The sequence below is a fragment of the Homo sapiens genome, chromosome 11 (genome assembly GCF_000001405.40).
Source record: "Homo sapiens chromosome 11, GRCh38.p14 Primary Assembly".
NCBI lineage: Eukaryota > Metazoa > Chordata > Mammalia > Primates > Hominidae > Homo > Homo sapiens.
In genome coordinates this window covers 96,327,852-96,347,362 of record NC_000011.10, presented here as the reverse complement: position 1 = coordinate 96,347,362, position 19,511 = coordinate 96,327,852, and the positions used below count along the sequence as shown (strand labels likewise).

At 42.2% G+C, this 19,511-nt stretch overlaps 1 protein-coding gene and 1 non-coding gene across 2 annotated transcripts in view, besides 4 other annotated features; one reads left to right on the top strand and one right to left on the bottom strand.

Moving 5' to 3' along the window:
• Positions 3,985-4,174: a silencer, noted in NCBI's record as "silent region_3854". NCBI's record gives its function as "represses an Ori minimal core promoter by ATAC-STARR-seq in GM12878 lymphoblastoid cells {active_cell/tissue: GM12878}" and the evidence as "EXISTENCE:reporter gene assay evidence [ECO:0000049][PMID:35858748]".
• MAML2 (mastermind like transcriptional coactivator 2) overlaps positions 4,168-19,511 on the top strand; it is a 366,598-nt gene continuing 351,254 nt past the window's right edge. Inside the window, exon 1 of the mRNA NM_032427.4 lies at positions 4,168-5,980. Coding sequence (NP_115803.1) covers positions 5,468-5,980 — 513 coding nt within the window. The 5' untranslated portion in view covers positions 4,168-5,467. The remainder of the gene's footprint in view (positions 5,981-19,511) is intronic.
• Positions 5,292-5,551: a silencer, noted in NCBI's record as "silent region_3853". NCBI's record gives its function as "represses an Ori minimal core promoter by ATAC-STARR-seq in GM12878 lymphoblastoid cells {active_cell/tissue: GM12878}" and the evidence as "EXISTENCE:reporter gene assay evidence [ECO:0000049][PMID:35858748]".
• Positions 5,837-5,925, bottom strand: MIR1260B (microRNA 1260b). Its single transcript, NR_036125.1, has one exon. It is a non-coding gene; the product is annotated as a microRNA 1260b (primary transcript).
• Positions 7,804-8,098: a silencer, noted in NCBI's record as "tiled region #6339; K562 Repressive non-DNase unmatched - State 1:Tss". NCBI's record gives its function as "represses a minimal TATA promoter and a strong SV40 promoter by Sharpr-MPRA in K562 cells {active_cell/tissue: K562}" and the evidence as "EXISTENCE:reporter gene assay evidence [ECO:0000049][PMID:27701403]".
• Positions 14,522-15,022: an enhancer, noted in NCBI's record as "H3K27ac hESC enhancer chr11:96065505-96066005 (GRCh37/hg19 assembly coordinates)". NCBI's record gives its function as "activates a minimal SCP1, AML or CMV promoter by ChIP-STARR-seq in naive H9 embryonic stem cells {active_cell/tissue: H9 hESC(naive)}" and the evidence as "EXISTENCE:reporter gene assay evidence [ECO:0000049][PMID:30033119]".

Sequence of the window (19,511 nt, the reverse complement as noted above, 5' to 3'; positions counted from 1 at the left end):
CCTTGATGAACATTGATGCAAAAATCCTCAATAAAATACTGGCAAACCGAATCCAGCAGCACATCAAAAAGCTTATCTACCATGATCAAGTAGGCTTCATCCCTGGGATGCAAGGCTGGTTCAACATATGAAAATCAATAAACACAATCCAGCACATCAACAGAACCAAAGTCAAAAACCACATGATTATCTCAATAGATGCAGAAAAGGCCTTTGACAAAATTCAACAACCCTTCATGCTAAAAACTCTCAATAAATTAGGTATTGATTGGACGTATCTCAAAATAATAAGAGCTATCTATGACAAACCCACAGCCAATATCATACTGAATGGACAAAAACTGGAAGCATTCCCTTTGAAAACTGGCACAAGACAGGGATGCCCTCTCTCACCACTCCTATTCAACATGGTGTTGGAAGTTCTGACCAGGGCAATCAGGCAGGAGAAGGAAATAAAGGGTATTCAATTAGGAAAAGAGGAAGTCAAATTGTCCCTGTTTGCAGATGACATGATTGTATGTCTAGAAAACCCCATCATCTCAGCCCAAAATCTCCTTAAGCTGATAAGCAACTTCAGCAAAGTCTCAGGATACAAAATCAATGTGCAAAAATCACAAGCATTCTTATACACCAATAACAGACAAACAGAGAGCCAAATCATGAGTGAACTCCCATTCACAATTGCTTCAAAGAGAATAAAATACCTAGGAATCCAACTTACAAGGGACCTGAAGGACCTCTTCAAGGAGAACTACAAACCACTGCTCAATGAAATAAAAGAGGATACAAAGAAATGGAAGAACATTCCATGCTCATGGGTAGGAAGAATCAATATCGTGAAAATGGCCATATTGCCCAACGTAATTTATAGATTCAATGCCATCCCCATCAAGCTACCAACGACTTTCTTCACAGAATTGGAAAAAACTACTTTAAAGTTCATGTGGAACCAAAAAAGAGCCCGCATTGCCAAGTCAATCCTAAGCCAAAAGAACAAAGCTGGAGGCATCATGCTACCTGACTTCAAACTATACTACAAGGCTACAGTAACCAAAACAGCATGGTACTGGTACCAAAGCAGAGATATAGACCAATGGAACTGAACAGAGCCCTCAGAAATAATGCCGCATATCTACAACTATCTGATCTTTGACAAACCTGAGAAAAACAAGCAATGGGGAAAGGATTCCCTATTTAATAAATGGTGCCAGGAAAACTGGCTAGCCATATGTAGAAAGCTGAAACTGGATCCCTTCCTTACACCTTATACAAAAATTAATTCAAGATGGATTAAAGACTTATGTGTTAGACCTAAAACCATAAAAACCCTAGAAGAAAACCTAGGCAATAACATTCAAGACATAGGTGTGGGCAAGGACTTCATGTCTAAAACACCAAAAGCAATGGCAACAAAAGCCAAAATTGACAAATGGGATCTAATTAAACTAAAGAGCTTCTGCACAGCAAAAGAAACTACCATCACAGTGAACAGGCAACCTACAGAATGGGAGAAAATTTTTGCAACCTACCCATCTGACAAAGGGCTAATATCCAGAATCTAAATGAACTCAAACAAATTTACAAGAAAAAAACAAATAACCCCATAAAAAGTGGGCAAAGGATATGAACAGACACTTCTCGAAAGAAGACATTTATGCAGCCAAAAAGCACATGAAAAAATGCTCATCGTCATTGGCCATCAGAGAAACGCAAATCAAAACCACTATGAGATACCATCTCACACCAGTTAGAATGGCAATCATTAAAAAGTCAGGAAACAACAGGTGCTGGAGAGGATGTGGAGAAATAGGAACACTTTTACACTGTTGGTGGGACTGTAAACTAGTTTAACCATTGTGGAAGTCAGTGTGGCGATTCCTCAGGGATCTAGAACTAGAAATACCATTTGACCCAGCCATCCCATTACTGGGTATATACCCAAAGGACTATAAATTATGCTGCTATAGAGACACATGCACTGGTACGTTTATTGCGGCACTATTCACAATAGTAAAGACTTGGAACCAACCCAAATGTCCAACAATGATAGACTGGATTAAGAAAATGTGGCACATATACACCATGGAATACTATGCAGCCATAAAAATTGATGAGTTCATGTCCTTTGTAGGGACATGGATGAAGCTGGAAACCATCATTCTCAGCAAACTATCACAAGGACGAAGAAACAAACACCGCATGTTCTCACTCATAGGTGGGAATTGAACAATGAGATCACATGGACACAGGAAGGGGAACATCACACTCTGGGGACTGTTGTGGGGTGGGGTGAGGGGGGAGAGATAGCATTAGGAGATATGCCTAATGCTAAATAACGAGTTCATGGGTGCAGCACACCAGCATGGCACATGTATACATATGTAACAAACCTGCACGTTGTGAACATGTACCCTAAAACTTAAAGTATAATAATAATAAAATTTAAAAAAAGAAATAAAAGAAATTATAAAACAAACAAAAAATCTGAGTGTATTTGTCCCCATTTCCAAGCTAACAGGATTGGTGAAAATAAAATGGACTAAAGTAGGCTATCCTATAGGGAACTAAATTGCAAATAAATCCAGTATTGAGATGTTTGCCTTGATTTTGCCTATTTCTATCCATAGCTCAGTTTGAAACGACCATATTCGTGAAATGCCAGAGTTTGTTTAGATTACTGAAGGTATATTATTTGAGACCTCAAATCCAAATGACTTCCAAATTAGGATACCCAGAATATTTTTGGTCCTGACTGTTGCAGTATTATGCTCACCTTAATTTAATCTTCATAATTGAAAATAAGCAGAATCCACAATAAGTTTTTTTTTTTTTTTTGGAGACAGAGACTCACCCTGTTGCCCAGGTTGGAGCGCAGTGGCGTGATCTTAGCTCACTGCGACCTCCGCCTCCTGGGTTCCAGCAATTATCCTGTCTCAGCCTCCCGAGTAGCTGGGATTACAGGCGTATGACACCATGCTCAGCTAATTTTTGTAGTTTTAGCAGAGACGGGGTTTCACCATATTGGCCAGGCTGGTCTTGAACTCTTGAACTCAGGTAATACACCTGCCTTGGCCTCCCAAAGTGCTGGGATTACAGGCGTGAGCCACTGTGCCTGGCCAGGATTGGATATTTTAAAGGTTGGATCACTTGAAAATGGGGGAACAATGATCTGTGTGAGATCTATTTGGTTTCTATTATTAAACTTCTTGAAACTCAGAGCCAGGTGCAGTAGTGGTGAGTACCTGTAGTTCCAGCTACTCAGGAGGCTCAAGTGGGAGGATCACTTGAGCCCAGGAGTTCAACTCCAGCCTGGGCAACATAACAAGACTCCATTAAAAGAAAAAAAAAAAAAAAACTTTTTGAAACTCAGCTGCTACACATTGACTTTCCTCATTGTATATGTGCACCAGGTAGCTAAGGATACTTCAGGTCTTATATTTGGTTTTTCATAGGCAATCATGCATTCCCAAAAAAAAAGCGTTTTTTTCTAGAACTGGTATCGATAATTGTATCATTCTCATAAAATATTTTATTTATCCCAACTGATTTGCCTGTGATCACCCAGACTCACTTATCCAGAGACACACAAATGGGCAGGCAGGTAGACAAACGCTACACCTGCCTGCCCTTTAGGAGCTAACAATGTGATTACCTCTCCTCTCCACGCGCAACCCCTTCCGCCCTCAACACACACATTCATATCTTCCTTATTCTATTAATGAACATTTCCTCGGTGCTCACACAGCTCGTGCTAGGTTGCTCAGTGGTGTCATTTACAATATACTGAAAAATGAAAATGATATCCTCAGCGGGGCGTAATGTAGGGCTGAAAGGGAAAACACATTCCTGGCCCGGAATTTCTTAAACATTTAGAGCTGGTGAAATGGTTGTGTAGAGGTTGGGGAATTTCCCCAGCCTTCCCCGCTTAACCGAGTCTGATGCTGAGCTGAGCCAGGGCAGCTGAGATGCGCAGGGCTTGGGATTTACCTCTTCAGCCACTGGGAGGCCCTCTGCGTTCCCCTTTCCCCGGTGCCTGGCTGCGATTACTCACTCGCGCAGTGGCACCAGCCTTCCACCAGGGAGCCTCGAACGAGCTCTCCCGCCCTCTCCCCGCCCCCCCACCCCCATCTGCAGCTTGCTGGCTCTCTCTTTCTCCTTCTCTGTCTCACTCTCTCTCTTTCTCTCCCTCTCCTATCGGAGCACAATGAAAGCCTGTGTATCGCCGTGACTCCGGGCGCGAGCCAGTGTCAGCAAAGCGGCTAACAACAGACGAGAAAGAGAAAGGAAAATACAAGCTACTTTTTTTTTCCATCTATAAAGCGGAGCAAATACAGGAGATAGAACCAGATTGCTTATTGCGAGTCCAGACCCTCAGATCCACTGGCCGGGGATGGAATGTACAAAAGTGGACAGAAAAGTGGCTGGACATGACTCGGTGCAATTTGCTGGAAGTTTGTAAGTTTGACCATCGTTTGTAAATTACTCTCGGAAGAGTTTGTCTCTCTTGATACTGTATTAGAATAGAGCCGGGGGTGAGGAATAGAAACGTAAGCGGGAAAGAAAAAAATGTGTTGAAGGATCTCTCTCAGTGGCTAGCGACTTAAGATTGCTTTTCATTTAAGGCTAGGAAACCTTAGAGGGAGTGAGGATTTTACCGGTGATTGGATTAGCTGAAGAAAAAAGCATGGTCCAAAAGTCCAATTACTGACATTGTTAACAGTTGAAAAGCTGTCTCCCTCTTTTGGGAGAAGACAACATCCTACAGTACCCCAAAGAGGAGAAAACACCGGAGCGAAAGGAAAGGGAGGAAAAATTAAAAGCCAAAAGACAGTCTCCCTTGATTTTTGCACATTTTGAACAGTGACTTAAACATCTTCTGAAACAGCACTGTTTTGTTTTGTTTTGGTTTTTTATTTAACCTGAGGAAAAGTCAAGGCTGCTGGTTACATAGACATGGTAGAAATGTGTTTCTCTGCAGAAACATCCCCATAAAGAATTGTCGGAAACAACTAGGTGAGGGGGAGTCCTCTCTATTAATACCTCTCTCAATACCTTTTGCTGTGTGTTTCTGTCTCTTGCTGGACAATCCCTGAATTCTTGATCTAACCCCCAGATCGTGTGTTTACAAAGTACCTAGTGGCTCTTGTCAGCTTGGTGGAGGAAAAAAAATCCACCAACTCTGTCCAACTTCTCCAGAGCTGTCAAATGCAATTAGAGTAAGTTAATCAGGGTTTGTTTCCAACTTATCCTCCCCCCAGTTGGTTTCTATTCTTTCTCCCCACCCTCTTTTTACTAACTCCCCTCCCCCACAACTTCTCCACGGCTCCCCCACAACCTCTGAAGACCTCTATTCATGTGGCCCTGAACACTGAGCTCACATTGTCAAAAACAGACTTGCCTGCAATAGCCAGCAGTAGCCTCTTTCCACCTCACCATCCCAGAGGCAGCAATCATTGTGTCCGGTAAGATGGGGGACACAGCGCCCCCGCAGGCCCCCGCAGGAGGGCTAGGGGGGGCCTCTGGGGCGGGGCTCCTTGGAGGGGGCTCAGTCACCCCGAGAGTGCACAGTGCTATCGTGGAGCGCCTCCGGGCTCGGATCGCTGTCTGCCGCCAACACCACCTGAGCTGTGAAGGACGATATGAACGAGGTAGGGCCGAGAGCTCAGACCGGGAAAGAGAAAGCACCTTGCAGCTCCTGAGCCTTGTACAGCATGGCCAGGGGGCAAGGAAAGCTGGCAAACACACCAAGGCCACCGCCACTGCTGCCACCACTACAGCCCCTCCACCGCCCCCTGCTGCCCCTCCTGCGGCCTCCCAAGCAGCAGCAACAGCAGCCCCACCGCCCCCACCAGACTATCACCATCACCACCAGCAGCACCTGCTGAACAGTAGCAATAATGGTGGCAGTGGTGGGATAAACGGAGAGCAGCAGCCGCCCGCTTCAACCCCAGGGGACCAGAGGAACTCAGCCCTGATTGCGGTAAGCACCTGGCTTTCTCATGGTTCTGGCTGTGGTCCTGTGACCTTTTGTGAGGGTAGAGTTTGCTTTGGCCTAAGGTAGAGTGGATGGCAATGAAAAAGGCCAAGATGTCACCTGACTACCTTAAAGGCCATTGGGTGTGTTCGGGTGGTTTCATGCGCCTACTCATCATGTTCTGTTGGTGCTCACTCCTGGGTTTTCCTTCGCTTATAGGATATTCCTTAACTGATAAGAAGCCTGAGTTTTCCAGAGGCTCTCTGGGGTCCACATCTTATAAAAGAAGAGGCTACCAGCTGGCAAGATCTGAGCCACTGAGGAAGGTTCTATCTCATGGATCCTCCAGCTTTGGCCAGCCAGCTCTGATTAGGCCCCCAAGCCATTTTTCAGCCCCAAAGCATTTATCAGCCCAGCTGGCCTTTATTAAAGCCTTTTTCTCCTTGCCCCATTTCCCCTCTCCCTTTTGAAGTGACCCCCTTCTTCTTCGCTTAAGAGAACATAAATGGTAAGCTGTAACAAATAGCAAATTCCCCGAATGTCCCCTCAGTCAAAAACAAAATTTGGGGAAAATATCCCAAAGAGAGACTAGGGAGGCACTGTTTCTTAAGAGGCCTACTCTCTGATTCCCTCTAGACTCTCTCACTCCTGAGCCACATCTCGATTATTTTCCCAAGCACTCCAGTCCAATCCAGTAATGCTCCCTTAGAGCATTCGTTAAGCAGACAGGCACGAAGCAGCTATTTACACAGATCATCATCCTAGGAAATACCTTGTCTTCAGCCACTCCTGGTGATAGGATATCAAACCCAAAAGTTCTGATTAAGTTTCTGGCTGGAAGTTCTTCCCCAGAGGCACAGACACACACCATCCCAGAGGAGTATCCCTTGGATCATTGATTCTCAGTGCCAGTCCTGGTCAGGTGACTGCCTGCTGTTTGCAGGCTTCCCCCCAAAGCTGCTGGACCAGTGGCCTCTGGTGGAAGGTAGAACCCTGCCCTGTGGCCCTGCAGGCTTCCTCCCTTTTGGAGCTCCATGGGACTTCTGGATTCTATGTCTGCTCCAGTTTACCCAGGTCAGCCCTAGCAAAAGCGACAGGAAATGGCCATGCAAGCCCCAAAGTACTCAAAAAGCCCAAAGGAGATGGTGCTATTGTGTCTAACTGCTCCTCCAAAGGAGCTTGATATTGAGCTCTCGGGAGAGGACATCCTCTGGCCAGACGCTCAGGATGGCTCTTTCTGGCTTCCCTTAATCCCTGGCCTGGGTCCATGGTGACGAAGACCCTGGGAATCTCTGGGGAGTAGGATGGTGCTTTTCTCCCCAGCCATAAGCACATTTACTTGGGCTACCTAGGAATGGGACTCCTTGAGGCCAGCTCCAGATGAAAAATAACTACCAACAGTTAAACTGCACAGGGTTTACAGTTTTACCCTTGAATAGCAGCACTAGCTTGTGGGGTTGTATTAGAGCTTCGAAGCCTAATATCCTTTTTCTACCACCTGCTCTATTCCCGCTTCTCCCTGGAATTCCCTAGGAAAGCAGTGGGAGGTTGTTTTGTGAAAAAAGAGATGTTAGGGTAAAGGAGGGGGGTAAAGAATCGCTCAAATGGAGAGAAGAATGAGGTTTGTATGTATGTGTGTGTCACCAGCATCTGTAGCCAAAAGTATCTAAATGCCTTGATTGTCCCCAGTAAATTTATAATCTGTCTGCAAGTCTCCCAATAATGCGGCTTTGTGTGCTTCACAGTCTCCTGGTAAGTGTTTCTGGGGATGGAACCGCAAGTGAGGCACCCGGCCCAACCCTGAGTGGAGAAGACTGATCTCTGCCCGGGGTGTCAAGGCCGGAGCGGGGCCGTGAAGAGCCACAGTGGGCTTCCCTTGTGGCCTTCACAGCCCAGCCTCTGAAGGAAAGGTGGCATGTTTGCCTCTGGCCTTGTTCTTTGAGCTTCTGCTTTTGTCCAACTTGGCAGTAAGCTGAGACAGCCTTTTTTTTCTAGGGTGTTTCATGATGGGAAATGAAACCAACTTTAGTGGTCGTGGTAACTTTACAGTAGCAATACCCATGCTGGGAGGGAAGTGAGGGAGCGGTGTCTGGCCCTTCCCGACTGAAAGCTTACTGCTGCAGAAGCCATAGCTGGCTGCTGTGCTACCTCTGGCCTAAGAGGGAATCTTTCTCTCTTCTAACCACCAGCCATCTCCTGAGACATTCCCTTAGAGGAGCTCCCTCTCCAGGTGTAGTGATGATGCAGAGAGGCACAGTTTAAGTTAGGAGGGTAAGGGATAGTATATTTCTAGTAGTTGCTTTTCACTGAGAATATGTGGCATTGCACGGGTTGTTGGAAATTCCCTCTCCATTTTAGCTGCTAAATTTGGCCCGTTGTTACTCAGCACGGTACTCAGAGATGGTGATGCAAGTGCTGTATTAACCTGATAACATTGTGTCCAAAGGGAGGCCTGGGCATTTTGAAGTGATTCACCAAGCCCATTACATTGGCAGGTCTCACTTTACTCGGGCTCCTCTTATTTTTCAGATATGCTATTAATTTTAAAAGGGCCTTTGTTCAGGGTGAGTGTCAGAATTTTTTCTTAATTTTATTGCTACTGTGTCCATAACCAGATTTATGTGACTTAGGTGTGTTGAATGTATAACTTTAATAGTTAATTCGTATGCCATAAGTGGCCATAAATGTCCTTTGGAGAAAGGGAGAGAATATTGATCATCTAAAATCAAAGATGTGCTGTGTCCTCAGATGAAAGCTTTGTATCCTGCATACCTTCTAGTACAATGCCTTGAAGACAGTGGGTAATATTTGTTGAATGAAGGTGAAAGGACAACTTCTGTTTGGTGGGATAATGTTGACTTTCATGGGTATTATACAGCAAGGAATATATAATGTCTGAATCCTTTCAATAGCCTTAAGTTTCAAGAACAATGCAAGAATAACCTCCAAGCCAGTTTTAATTCTGTCCACATTGACAGCCTAATTCTACAGCCCTTACTCAGCCAGTTTCTTCATTTAGCTCAAGTACAAGTTCAGGGGAAGCCCCGCTGCTGCAGAGTCTGCAGGAACAGGGCCTTTCAGAGGGCCCGGATTATAGGGCTTTGAGCAGATCTGCATTTCTAACCACTTGGAGCAGACTTTAGGCACTAACTCATTTTCTGGTGAAGTATGTTTGAATCTTTGAATGAACTGTGAAACTGAATAATTGCTGGTCCATGGAACAGTAAGGTTTAGAGCTTCTGTGGTACATTATTAATCTTTCCCTTTTGCCTGAGACAAGCTCTTTTTCTGTTGCATAGATTGTGTTGCTAGGATCACTAGATAAGTGGTTCCATGTCATCTCTGGCTTCAGAGATTATCTTTTCTCTAATGTCATGTGGAGGAAAGAAAGTAGATCAGACAAGGAGCCTACATCCCTTGGTTTTGTGCCTGCTGGATCACCATCTGGGTTACCTAGGACAAGTCACTTAGCAGTCATCTGTGGAACAGAGAGGACAATCATGCTGCCCCAGCTTGTTGAGAGAAGCAAATGAGCGTGTTTTTCTGAACAAGCTTTAGGAAAAATTAAGCACTGCCAAAATGCAATACTAGTGTTAGTAGTAATAAACTTCTAAACAATGAATGATAATACTGGTTCTTCTAGGAGTTAAATGTATACTCAGCTTTCAGTTGTCGGTTTTAAATGATGAAATAGCACTTATTGTAAATAGAGGGATTGGCATTTCAAATTTACTGCTGTCAAGATAAGACTGACGTATCCGTATACTTAAGTGTTCCTGAAGGTCCCAGGAAATCCTAGTGCAATGCTATGAAAGTCTTTGGAGTCTTTGAATGCATCTACTTTACAGGCCTCTGCATGGACCTGGGAAGCTTTGGAAAGATGTGTCCCCCAGAACATCTAAGGCATATTAGAAAAGTTGTTTACACAAATGCATGGGAGAGTTAAATATTTTGTCAACAATTGTCTAAAATGTTAATTGTTAGCTTAAGAAAGTCAAACAAGTTAAATCATTGCCAGAGTACCCTGGTTATTTTTAACTGATAATAATCAAGTTTCCAATTGACAATTAAAAAGTTGAGAGCTGTAAGTGGGAGGCCAGATCTGGGTATCTATGGCTGTCTACATGATAAATGTCCTCCTAGGACAGTGATAGGAGTGTTTATATTATTTATATATGCAGCCATCATTTCCTTAAAAACTGACCTATTTTCGTTCTGTTTTCTAGAACAAAGTAAAAAAAAAGGAGAATTCTTATCTATCTAGGACCTTCCTACCACTTATTTCAAGTAAATATAATTATAAGATCTCACAAAGGCAAAAGGGTTCAAGTGGAGAGAGGAGTTAGTATAATACTTTACAAAAAATTGATAAAAACCTTTCTTTGACATCAAGGTGATGTTATCATGTAAACCAAGATATCTTGCTTGTTTAGGACAATGTTTGTTTATAGAAGGCATCTGCTTTCTTTGAAATAATATTGGTAGGTGATGTTCATCAAATGTTTCTAAATCGTAATGTTTAATCACTTATGGCTTCTGTATTGTAAACATTTTTAAATACCAATATGTTTAAATATGGGCTTTCAGATGTTCTTAGACATACCAATTTAAATATGACTAAAAGAGTGGCCATAATTAGCTGTTTTTGTTTTTTTGTTGTTGTTTGTGTTTGTGTTTAGCACTGTTATTTAATCTAAGAAAGCCTGAAAGGGAATCTGAAAACAGTCATCCAGTTCTGCTATCCATGGCAGCTAAGCCTTTCTGAATGGATTCTACTGCTTTCTTGTTCTTTAATCCAGACCCTTATATATGTTTATGTTCACAGGCAGGGCAATGTTTAGTGAAAACAATTCTAAATTTTTTATTTTGCATTTTCATGCTAATTTCCGTCACACTCCAGCAGGCTTCCTGGGAGAATAAGGAGAAATACAGCTAAAGACATTGTCCCTGCTTACTTACAGCCTAATGGTATGCAAAACCACTTCAATAAAGTAACAGGAAAAGTACTAACCAGGTAGAATGGACCAAAACTGATATAGAAAAATCAGAGGAAGAGAGGAACAAATATTTACTGAGTCCTAGAATGTACAAGGCTTTTTAATTACATATTTTATGTAAGGCCTGCAAAAAACAGGTGAGTAATCAACATTTGTCCCATTTTACATATAAGGAAACTGAAGCTTAAATTGAATAATTTAATGCATAGATTTTATAGTTAGACCATGTTCAGGTCCCTATGTTATACTTACTAGCTGTATGAATATGAGAAAATAATTTTGTTATTTTCTTGGCATCAGTATTTTCATCTGCAAAATAAAGCTAAAGTTATTTAGCAAAACAGTCAGCATAGTGCCTGATACATAGTAGGTGCTCAAAACATGAGTACCACTAGTAGTTGGTAGTAGAGAGATTCAAATATAGGCCAGGGATAGCTATATGAGAACATGGGTCACCAGCAGGGCCTGAGAAGAGGGAGAAAATACGGAAATGTGGGATTGGGGTCGCTGAGTGCAGGCATGTAAGTTAAGTGTTTGGGGAACAGAGCAGTGCTTGACTGAGTGTGGCTGGACGTGAGTACTGAGGGGGACAAATGAGATTGATCCACATCCTGGAGGGCCTGGAGATCCGGTAAGAGCAAATCAGAAGCCCTGGAAAATGGTAGAGCAAGGACGGCTCCAAGGAATCAACAGCTATGATGCAATAATAATCCTTCATATACTTGAAGACAAGTATTACATTTCCCCTCCAGCAGCCTCTTCTCACAGCGCATTGCCTAAGTGCTCTGTACTACCCATCTTCAAGTCCCTTGAGCTGCTTAATGCCTTGCTATTTACACATTCTCCCATTCATGGTGAGTTATATACTGCATGACATGCCCTTTGACACTAAAAGGACATAGTTTTAAAGCACACTAGCTAGATGCAGAAGAGGAAGTAAAAGAAGCAGACCAAGCTATACCTCGCTTCTTAGGTTCACTGGGCCTTCCAGTGCAAACAAGAAATGCCCTGTTGGTAAAAGTGTTTATACTCTCTTGATGTGTAAATCAGTCTTCCCAACAAATGAGTTTGCCTGTATACTAATGTGGAAAAGGTATTCTCATTATTAAAAAAATCATGAACAAAAATTCGTGAGAAAAGCATTATTTTAGATGGTCTTTGAGATGTACTTATTTCCTTGCTTGTAATACAGATGTGTTACAAATTTTTTACTTGCCTTAAGGTCCAGTTGGATACCAGTTTCCCCCATTTAGTTCTTGTTTACAAGGGAAAAGTAAGGGACCCTAAGGAAAGATGGCAAAGGAGAAAAGCCAACATCTCCCTCCTCCCTGATTCATGGCATGATGCTTGGATGCTGACGGTAGTGAATGGGCTATTGACTAGCTTCAACCTTGGCCTACACATTTGTGAGAAACAGAGGTAAAAGAGCAAAAGCTATTCCACTTCCCTATAGAGGACATGAAGAGAGAAGTTCACATATTCTCCACAGGTTGAGGACAACTAGAGAGCTGGACCCTACCATAGCCAAATTACTGAAGGAATGGATATGAAAATGGGCAAATGGCAATACTGACACATGCTACAGCTCTCCAAAGGTCTTAATGTTTTAGCAAAGGTTTTAAACTCTTACGTCAAGATTGTATGCATGGGTCCTTTTTAGAGTTTGGGAAAATATTCATTAATTCAGTAAATAATCTTTGTACAGCTCTTCTGTGCCATGAACTGTGCCAGGAATACATTGATGGACACTTCAGTATAGCCTTTGCCCTCTTTGAATTTACAGTGTAGACGGGAGGTGAGTGGGGTTAGAAATAGAACTGTTACAGTTGGCTTGTGTAAGGAGGCAAAGAAGCATAGCAGTTAAGAGCCTGAGATCTTAACTCTTAACTCTGAGGTGAGACGACCAGATTTCAAATCACCCCTCTAACACTTAGTTGTGTTTTCTTGGATAGGTCAATTAAATTCCCTTGCCTCAGTTTTCTCGACTGTGAAATGGAGTGATAGTAATAGAACTAACATCTTAGAGCTGTTGATTAAATTTAGCAATTGCCTAGCACCTCGTAAAGGCTCAATAAATTTTAGCTGTTATTATTAGTGTGTGAAGTAACATACCTGAATCAGATTCATAGGTTTCCCAGCCCAGAATTGTGTTTCCAGTAATGCATCAGACATTTAGAGGAAGAGCATGGCTTTTCTCTTTAATGTTTACTTAAAATGGTTAGTGAAGAGTATCATATTATCAGTTCCCTCAATAGTTGAATATGGAGACATCACCTGGGATAGATTTCCATCTCCCTAGAATGTTAAATAGTGTCCTTCTTGAGAATGGGACCAAGTACTACCTCTTCCAATCCTAAGATTCTAGGACTCCTAATCTAGAAGTTGAATAGAGTGAATGTCCTCTTGACTCCTTACTTCTAGAATTCAGTCTGGGTTTCCATTCAGTTACCCAGCAAGTGTGGAGTGTGGGCTTAGTAGGTAAATGAGAAATTTAAACCATCTATTGGGAGTTTTGAATCATTGGAACCAAATAGACAAACTTACCAATTTAATTGAATTATTAATTGAAATTAATGAATAATTCTTAAGTGAATTTGGTCCTAGAGCCACAAAAGGTTAGACGCTTCCTACTGTGGAGATTTAAATTTATGCTTTTGAAAGCCAGATCCCTGGCTAAAGTTGCTAATTTACTGCATCTGCAGATGAATAGGCAACACAGATTTGCCGTCTTTCCAACCCTAAGCAGGAGCATGTTGAAATTTCCATGCCTTGATGTGGCTCTCACCTCAGAATCTCTTTACTCAGTACCTCCTCAAGTGCGGTTTTCCATAAAAAACATGAGGAAGATGTTGCCAAGGGTTCAAAGCAAGTTTTATTGATGACGATTCTTAATTGAAAGCATGGTGTTTCTATGAAGTGACAGGATTAGAAAACAAATAGTCTCCATTCTTTAGTAGATTATATTTGGGCAAGGATGGATTTATTGTCCAAACTCAGAGCAAAGAATGTAGTCAAAAATTTTTATCTTTTTTTTTTTTCGCTTACTCCCCATGATTTAACCTTAGATTCCTCCCCTTTCTTGAGGATAATAATGCTTAGGAAATGTAGTGTCAAACATAGTTGGGTTGTTTTGTTTTTAACAGTGTTCTTGCTTCCTGAGTCATTCTGGCAGATTCATACATTAACATGGAATCATTAACATTTTTGCTTTAAAATTTCTCTTTTGTCAGAAATGTGGCTGAGTTATATTTGTAATTCTTATCCAGCCCTCTAATAACTGTCACCCACATGAAGCCCAACACCTTAAATGCCTCATTGTACAACAGAGTTCTTTTCAGGTAGCTCTCATAGATTTCAGTAGAAAGTTAATTACATGTCTGTTTCTAAGAAAATTCAGTTAAGGCAAAAGTCGGCTACAACCTCTAATAACTTACCGGGAGTCTGTTGGATACACAGTATCTCTTAGAGTCCTGGTAACCAGGGTGCAAAGAAGTAGCTTAATTGAATACAATATGTACTGTACTGTGTCTTACTTATGTGTAAAATGCTCATATCTGGAGGTCACTGGAGTCTAAATTATGTAAAAATAAAAACATTCTCTGGCTAAGCAGCTGAGAAATGAGGATTTTTTGTTGTTGTTGATGTTTCTGTTCACCTAAGTTTCTGATACTTGCTAAACCGGCTAAGTCTTGCGCATTTGATTGCCACACCGTGCTACTTAATTTCAGACAGCACAAAGTATGTGCTAGTGTATTATCCCATTTGGTTGTTTCGCAGAAGTGTTAAAGTGCAAAGTGCAGAGATGAGAGTAAACAGGAAAGAGGAGCTATCCTGACAGAAACAACAGACAGAGGCAACCGTTTAGTAAAGTTTGGGCCCAAGTCCTAGAGCCATTGCACCAAAGAGAGCTTCCTTTTCTCCCTTAGATTCTTTGCATGTGGATCTGTTTGCAGGCTCAGTCCCCCAGAGAGTGACTCTGAGCTGTCTTTGTGCTAAATTAAACATTAGTTTTCTCCTTGGGAACCTGATCTTCCATAGACTAGGCAACAATATCTTTCTGAGAGAGCGAGCTCCCAGCTAAGCATTTCCCTCAGGAAGATACTGGCTCAGGAGCCCTTTCACCTCTCCGATCTGCTTAGCTAGTGTGAGTGCGTGTTGCATGGGAATTGTTTTGTCTAACCAGGTCTAGAAGCCCTTAAAGTGATGACTTGTACTTTAATCCTTGGTACAATGCTGGAGGACCCATGCTACTTTAGCATATAATAAATGAAAACAGAGTAGCACCCAGATCATATAAGATTACAACCACACATGGGAAGGAGTTCTGATTGCTCACTGCCTCCCAAATTCTGCACCCACAGCAATGAAAGAGAGTGAGTTGCAAAACAGAAGCCATCTCATTTCTAGCCTTCTCTCATCTCTATCCTGCCCATCCCCCTAGAGGGCCAGTTCATATTAGTCTAAAAATAGGACACTATTCTGCAATTTATAGAGTTGTATAAGCCCTTAGAGAGAAGACAGACCAAATCCTCTTTTCGTAAATGAAGAAATTAAAGCTTTTTTTTTTTTTTTTTGAGATGGAGTCTCACTCTTTCGCCCACGCTGGAGTGCAGCAGTGCAATCTTGGCTCACTGCAACCGCCGCCTCCTGGGTTCGCGTGATTCCCCTGCCTCAGCCTCCTAAGTAGCTGAGATTACAGGCGCCCACCACCACGCCCGGCTAATTTTTTTCCTTTTTCTTTTTTTTTTGTATTTTTAGTAGAGATGGGGTTTCACCATGTTGGTCAGGCTGGTCTCAAACTCCTGACCTCAAGTGATCCACTCACCTTGGCCTCCAAAAAGTGCTGGGATTACAGGCGTGAGGCACTGCGCCTGGCCTTAAAGCTCATTTTTTTATTAAAGAGAAAGCCTCCAAGAACCCATAGCAATAGATCTTGGACTACAGCCCAAGTTTTCCTGACATCTATTCCAGGTTATAAAAAGTAGTCATTTGATTAAGGATTTTTAATAAACCTATAAAAAGAACAGTTAGGGGAAATTTGGTATTTTTATTAATATTTTGGTAGTAAGAGTAGCATGGAGTTTAGAGCCTGTGGTAGATTGTCTTTTTTGTTTATTGTTTTGAAACAGGATCTCACTCTGTCACCCAGGCTGGAGTGCAGTGGCACAATCTCTGCTTACTGCAACCTCTGCCTCCTGGGCTCAAGTGATCCTCCCCGCCAGCCTTCTGAGTAGCTGGGACTGCAGGTGCACACCACCACCCTTGGCTAATTTTAGTATTTTTTTGTTGAGACAGTGTTTTGCCATGTTGCCCAGGCTGGTCTCAAACTCCAGGGCTCAAAGGATCCACCCACCTCAGCCTCCCAAAGTGCTGGATTCCAGGCATCAGCCACCATGCCTGGCTGGTAGATGGCTTTTTAAATGATCACAATGATCCCTTCCACCCCACACGCCCCTTTGTAATGTAACTTTGCCACTCCTGGCATCAAAAAATGGATGCTTTTTTCCCCCTTGAATCTCGATTGGCCTCGTGACTTGCATTATCCAATAACGTGACATAAATGACATGTGCTACTTCTGAGGATGGCCTTTATGAAGCCCTCTTGGAACACCGACCTGATACCAACATGTAAGGAAGCCAGTCTAGCTAATTGGGAGATGAGCATGCAGAGAACCAAGGTGCCCCGACTCTAATCAGCACCAACTGCCCACACACAAGTGAGGCCATCTTGGACCCAGCCAATCTTCCAGCTCAATGTGGCCACACAAGTGAGCCCAGGTGAAACCAGCAGAGGAACTGCCCAGCCAATCCACAGAATTATGAGAAATATTGCGTCATTGTTTTAAGCCACTAACTTTTGGGGTGGTTTGTAAGTAGAAAAGTTTAACAGAATCAGAGCTGGAAAATTTTAGCATGGAAAATGACTCTATTTCATTAGCTGTGTTATCTTGGACTGGTTACTTAACGTCTTTGAGCCTCATAACTCTGCTTTTCAGGATAATAGTAGCTGTCTCAAAAGGTTGTGGGGATTAAATGAGATAATACAGTTTATGAAATAGCCTACAGTTTTGTTTGGTACATGGCACAGCTTAACAAACAGTTTTCCTGCTTTCTCTTTGTCTCTTCTCAATGTATTATAATTCATACAAATTCCCTCTTTGTCAGTTCACATTCACTTCATGTGCATCAACATTCTCCTAGGCTTCCTCAGATCACTGTTCCTCTAAACAGCGATTAATTTTTTCCCTCCTGGGTGATGCTGTCATTCCTTCTAACTACCAAATTTCAAGCATTCTTGCTATACTCCATGGAACACATCTGCCTTCAGTAGTCTACCCTTAAAATAGAAAAGGGTTAACCTCATAAAGATGTCACTCCCTTTGTACTGTTATGCTGCCCTTGGGAGACTCAAACAGCATAGCAAATATATATGGGCAATGTAATTGCATTCGATCTTCTAGGTCACAGAAGACTTTGTTAGCTGGTATAGCAGACAGGGAAAAGTGAGCACATTCCCATCTTTAAGAGCACTGCTTCTAAATTCTGTCACTCTTTTTGATAGGAAATTACCCTAACAGCCTCATTTTTTCCATCTTAGCCTTCACAACAAATAATAAATAAAGAAGGAGTGATATAGTCATACTGTATTATACCTACTTACTATACTTATTCGTAGTGATACTGTATGAGAGTACTGGTCAGGGGATTGGGTATTGAAGGTTCTAGTGCTGGCTCTGATACTACCTAGTAGGGCAATTTAGTCATGTCCTTTAACTTCCTGGTATTTACTTTGCTTCTTGGAAAAACAGTAAGTGGCACTTGGTATGTGGCTTGTATCACTTCTTAGGCCTCTTTTGGTATGACACACTTTGCAGAGTTCCCTGATATTTGATTTTGTTTCTCAAATTTCAGTCTCTTCTTACATATGTTTATTGAGGAAGAATTGAAAGGAGCAGTGACAAAATTGGCAATGTTTTGTAGCAGTAAGGAGGGTCTGAAGTTATGTGGGGGACAAGGTCCAGCCATGGCGGAAGGGGGAGGTCCAAGCCATATTAATTGTTGAATACCCTTCCTAGAAGTAATGAACAAATCACTCCATCTCTGGCCATATTCTGAGGGACTTAGAGTTCCAGTTTGAGAAACACATTTATAGGAGTAGAGTTTGATTCATTAAATTTATTTTTAGAGAGAGTACTGATTTTTTTTCCCCAGATCCTCTCAATTACACTTGTAATATTTCTGTAGGGTAAAGATTCCCAAGCGATTACCCCTTGTGAAATAATTACATGAAACATTAAAAAAAACAAAAAGGAAAATATTCTGTAGAGCCTCTTACTAAAGAACTAACTAGTCTTTCAGCTGTGTACATCCGTCTCTCCATCTGTTTGTCTATCTATTTCTCATATATACATAACAATTGAAAAGTGCAGATTGATGGATGGGATTTTATATGTGTCACCACTTCATTTTTTAAATATGTGTCTGCTTTAACGGGGAACTATAAAAGAGAGTCAAGAAATTGCCCTGGGGGAGGGGAATTCAATCCACTGCCTCTTTTTTTCTTATCGCTAAAACCCTAAGCAGAGAGTATAATCACCTATTTCCCAAGGGCAGCCCTAAGCCCTTAAAACTCAGCTCTGTTTAGGGATTTAATAGAACTGGAAAAAAGAAATGCATGGGATCTGCTTCTAGGAGCAAACCAACAAAGAAAAATTTTCCCAAACGATATTAAATCTAAAGAATTTTTACGGTAACACAGTCCCCTCTCTCCCTCCCTATCTCTTGATTCAGTTAGAGCACAGCTCTTCCAGTCACTTCTTTATGACTCGTACGATCTTGGGGGGTGGCGTGGGGTGTCTGTGGATCACATCTTAGGCTCTGGGCCAGCCCGAGCATTTTTTTTTTCAACAACAGAGCAAGATGTAACTAGCATAAAGTGAGCAAGGTCATTTGGTTGTGGTTGCCATTTTATTTCATTCAAGCTGAGAGTAGACACACTCAGCTTCATTGTTAGGTTGGAGCCATAAAGATAGTGACATTTTTTTCAGTTACCTCTAAGCACCTTAGAATTTCTTCTGTTAAGATTTGCTGGAATTTTAGGTGAAAATATCTTGGTGTTATGCAACATGGCTTTTCTTTTTAAAAATATTAAAATAAAGGAAGTCAAGTTGCCTTTCTTTCCCAATAGATGGGGTCTTACCTTTGCTTAGGAAATATACCTTAAGCTCCCATCACACATATATACACACATGCACACACACATATGCGCTTTGTTTTTGATTGTTATTATTTTGGGGGGATGGAATATCACTCTGTCACCTAGGTTGGAGTGCAGTGGCACAATCTTGGCTCACTGTAACCTCCACCCCCCGGGTTGAAGTGATTCTCCTGCCTTAGCCTCCCGAGTAGCTGGGACCACAGGTGTGCGCCACCACGCCTGGCTAATTTTTGGATTTTTAGTAGAGATGGGGTTTCACCTCGTTGGCCAGGCTGGTCTCGAACTCCTGACCTCAGGTGATCCGCCTGCCTTGGCTTCCCAA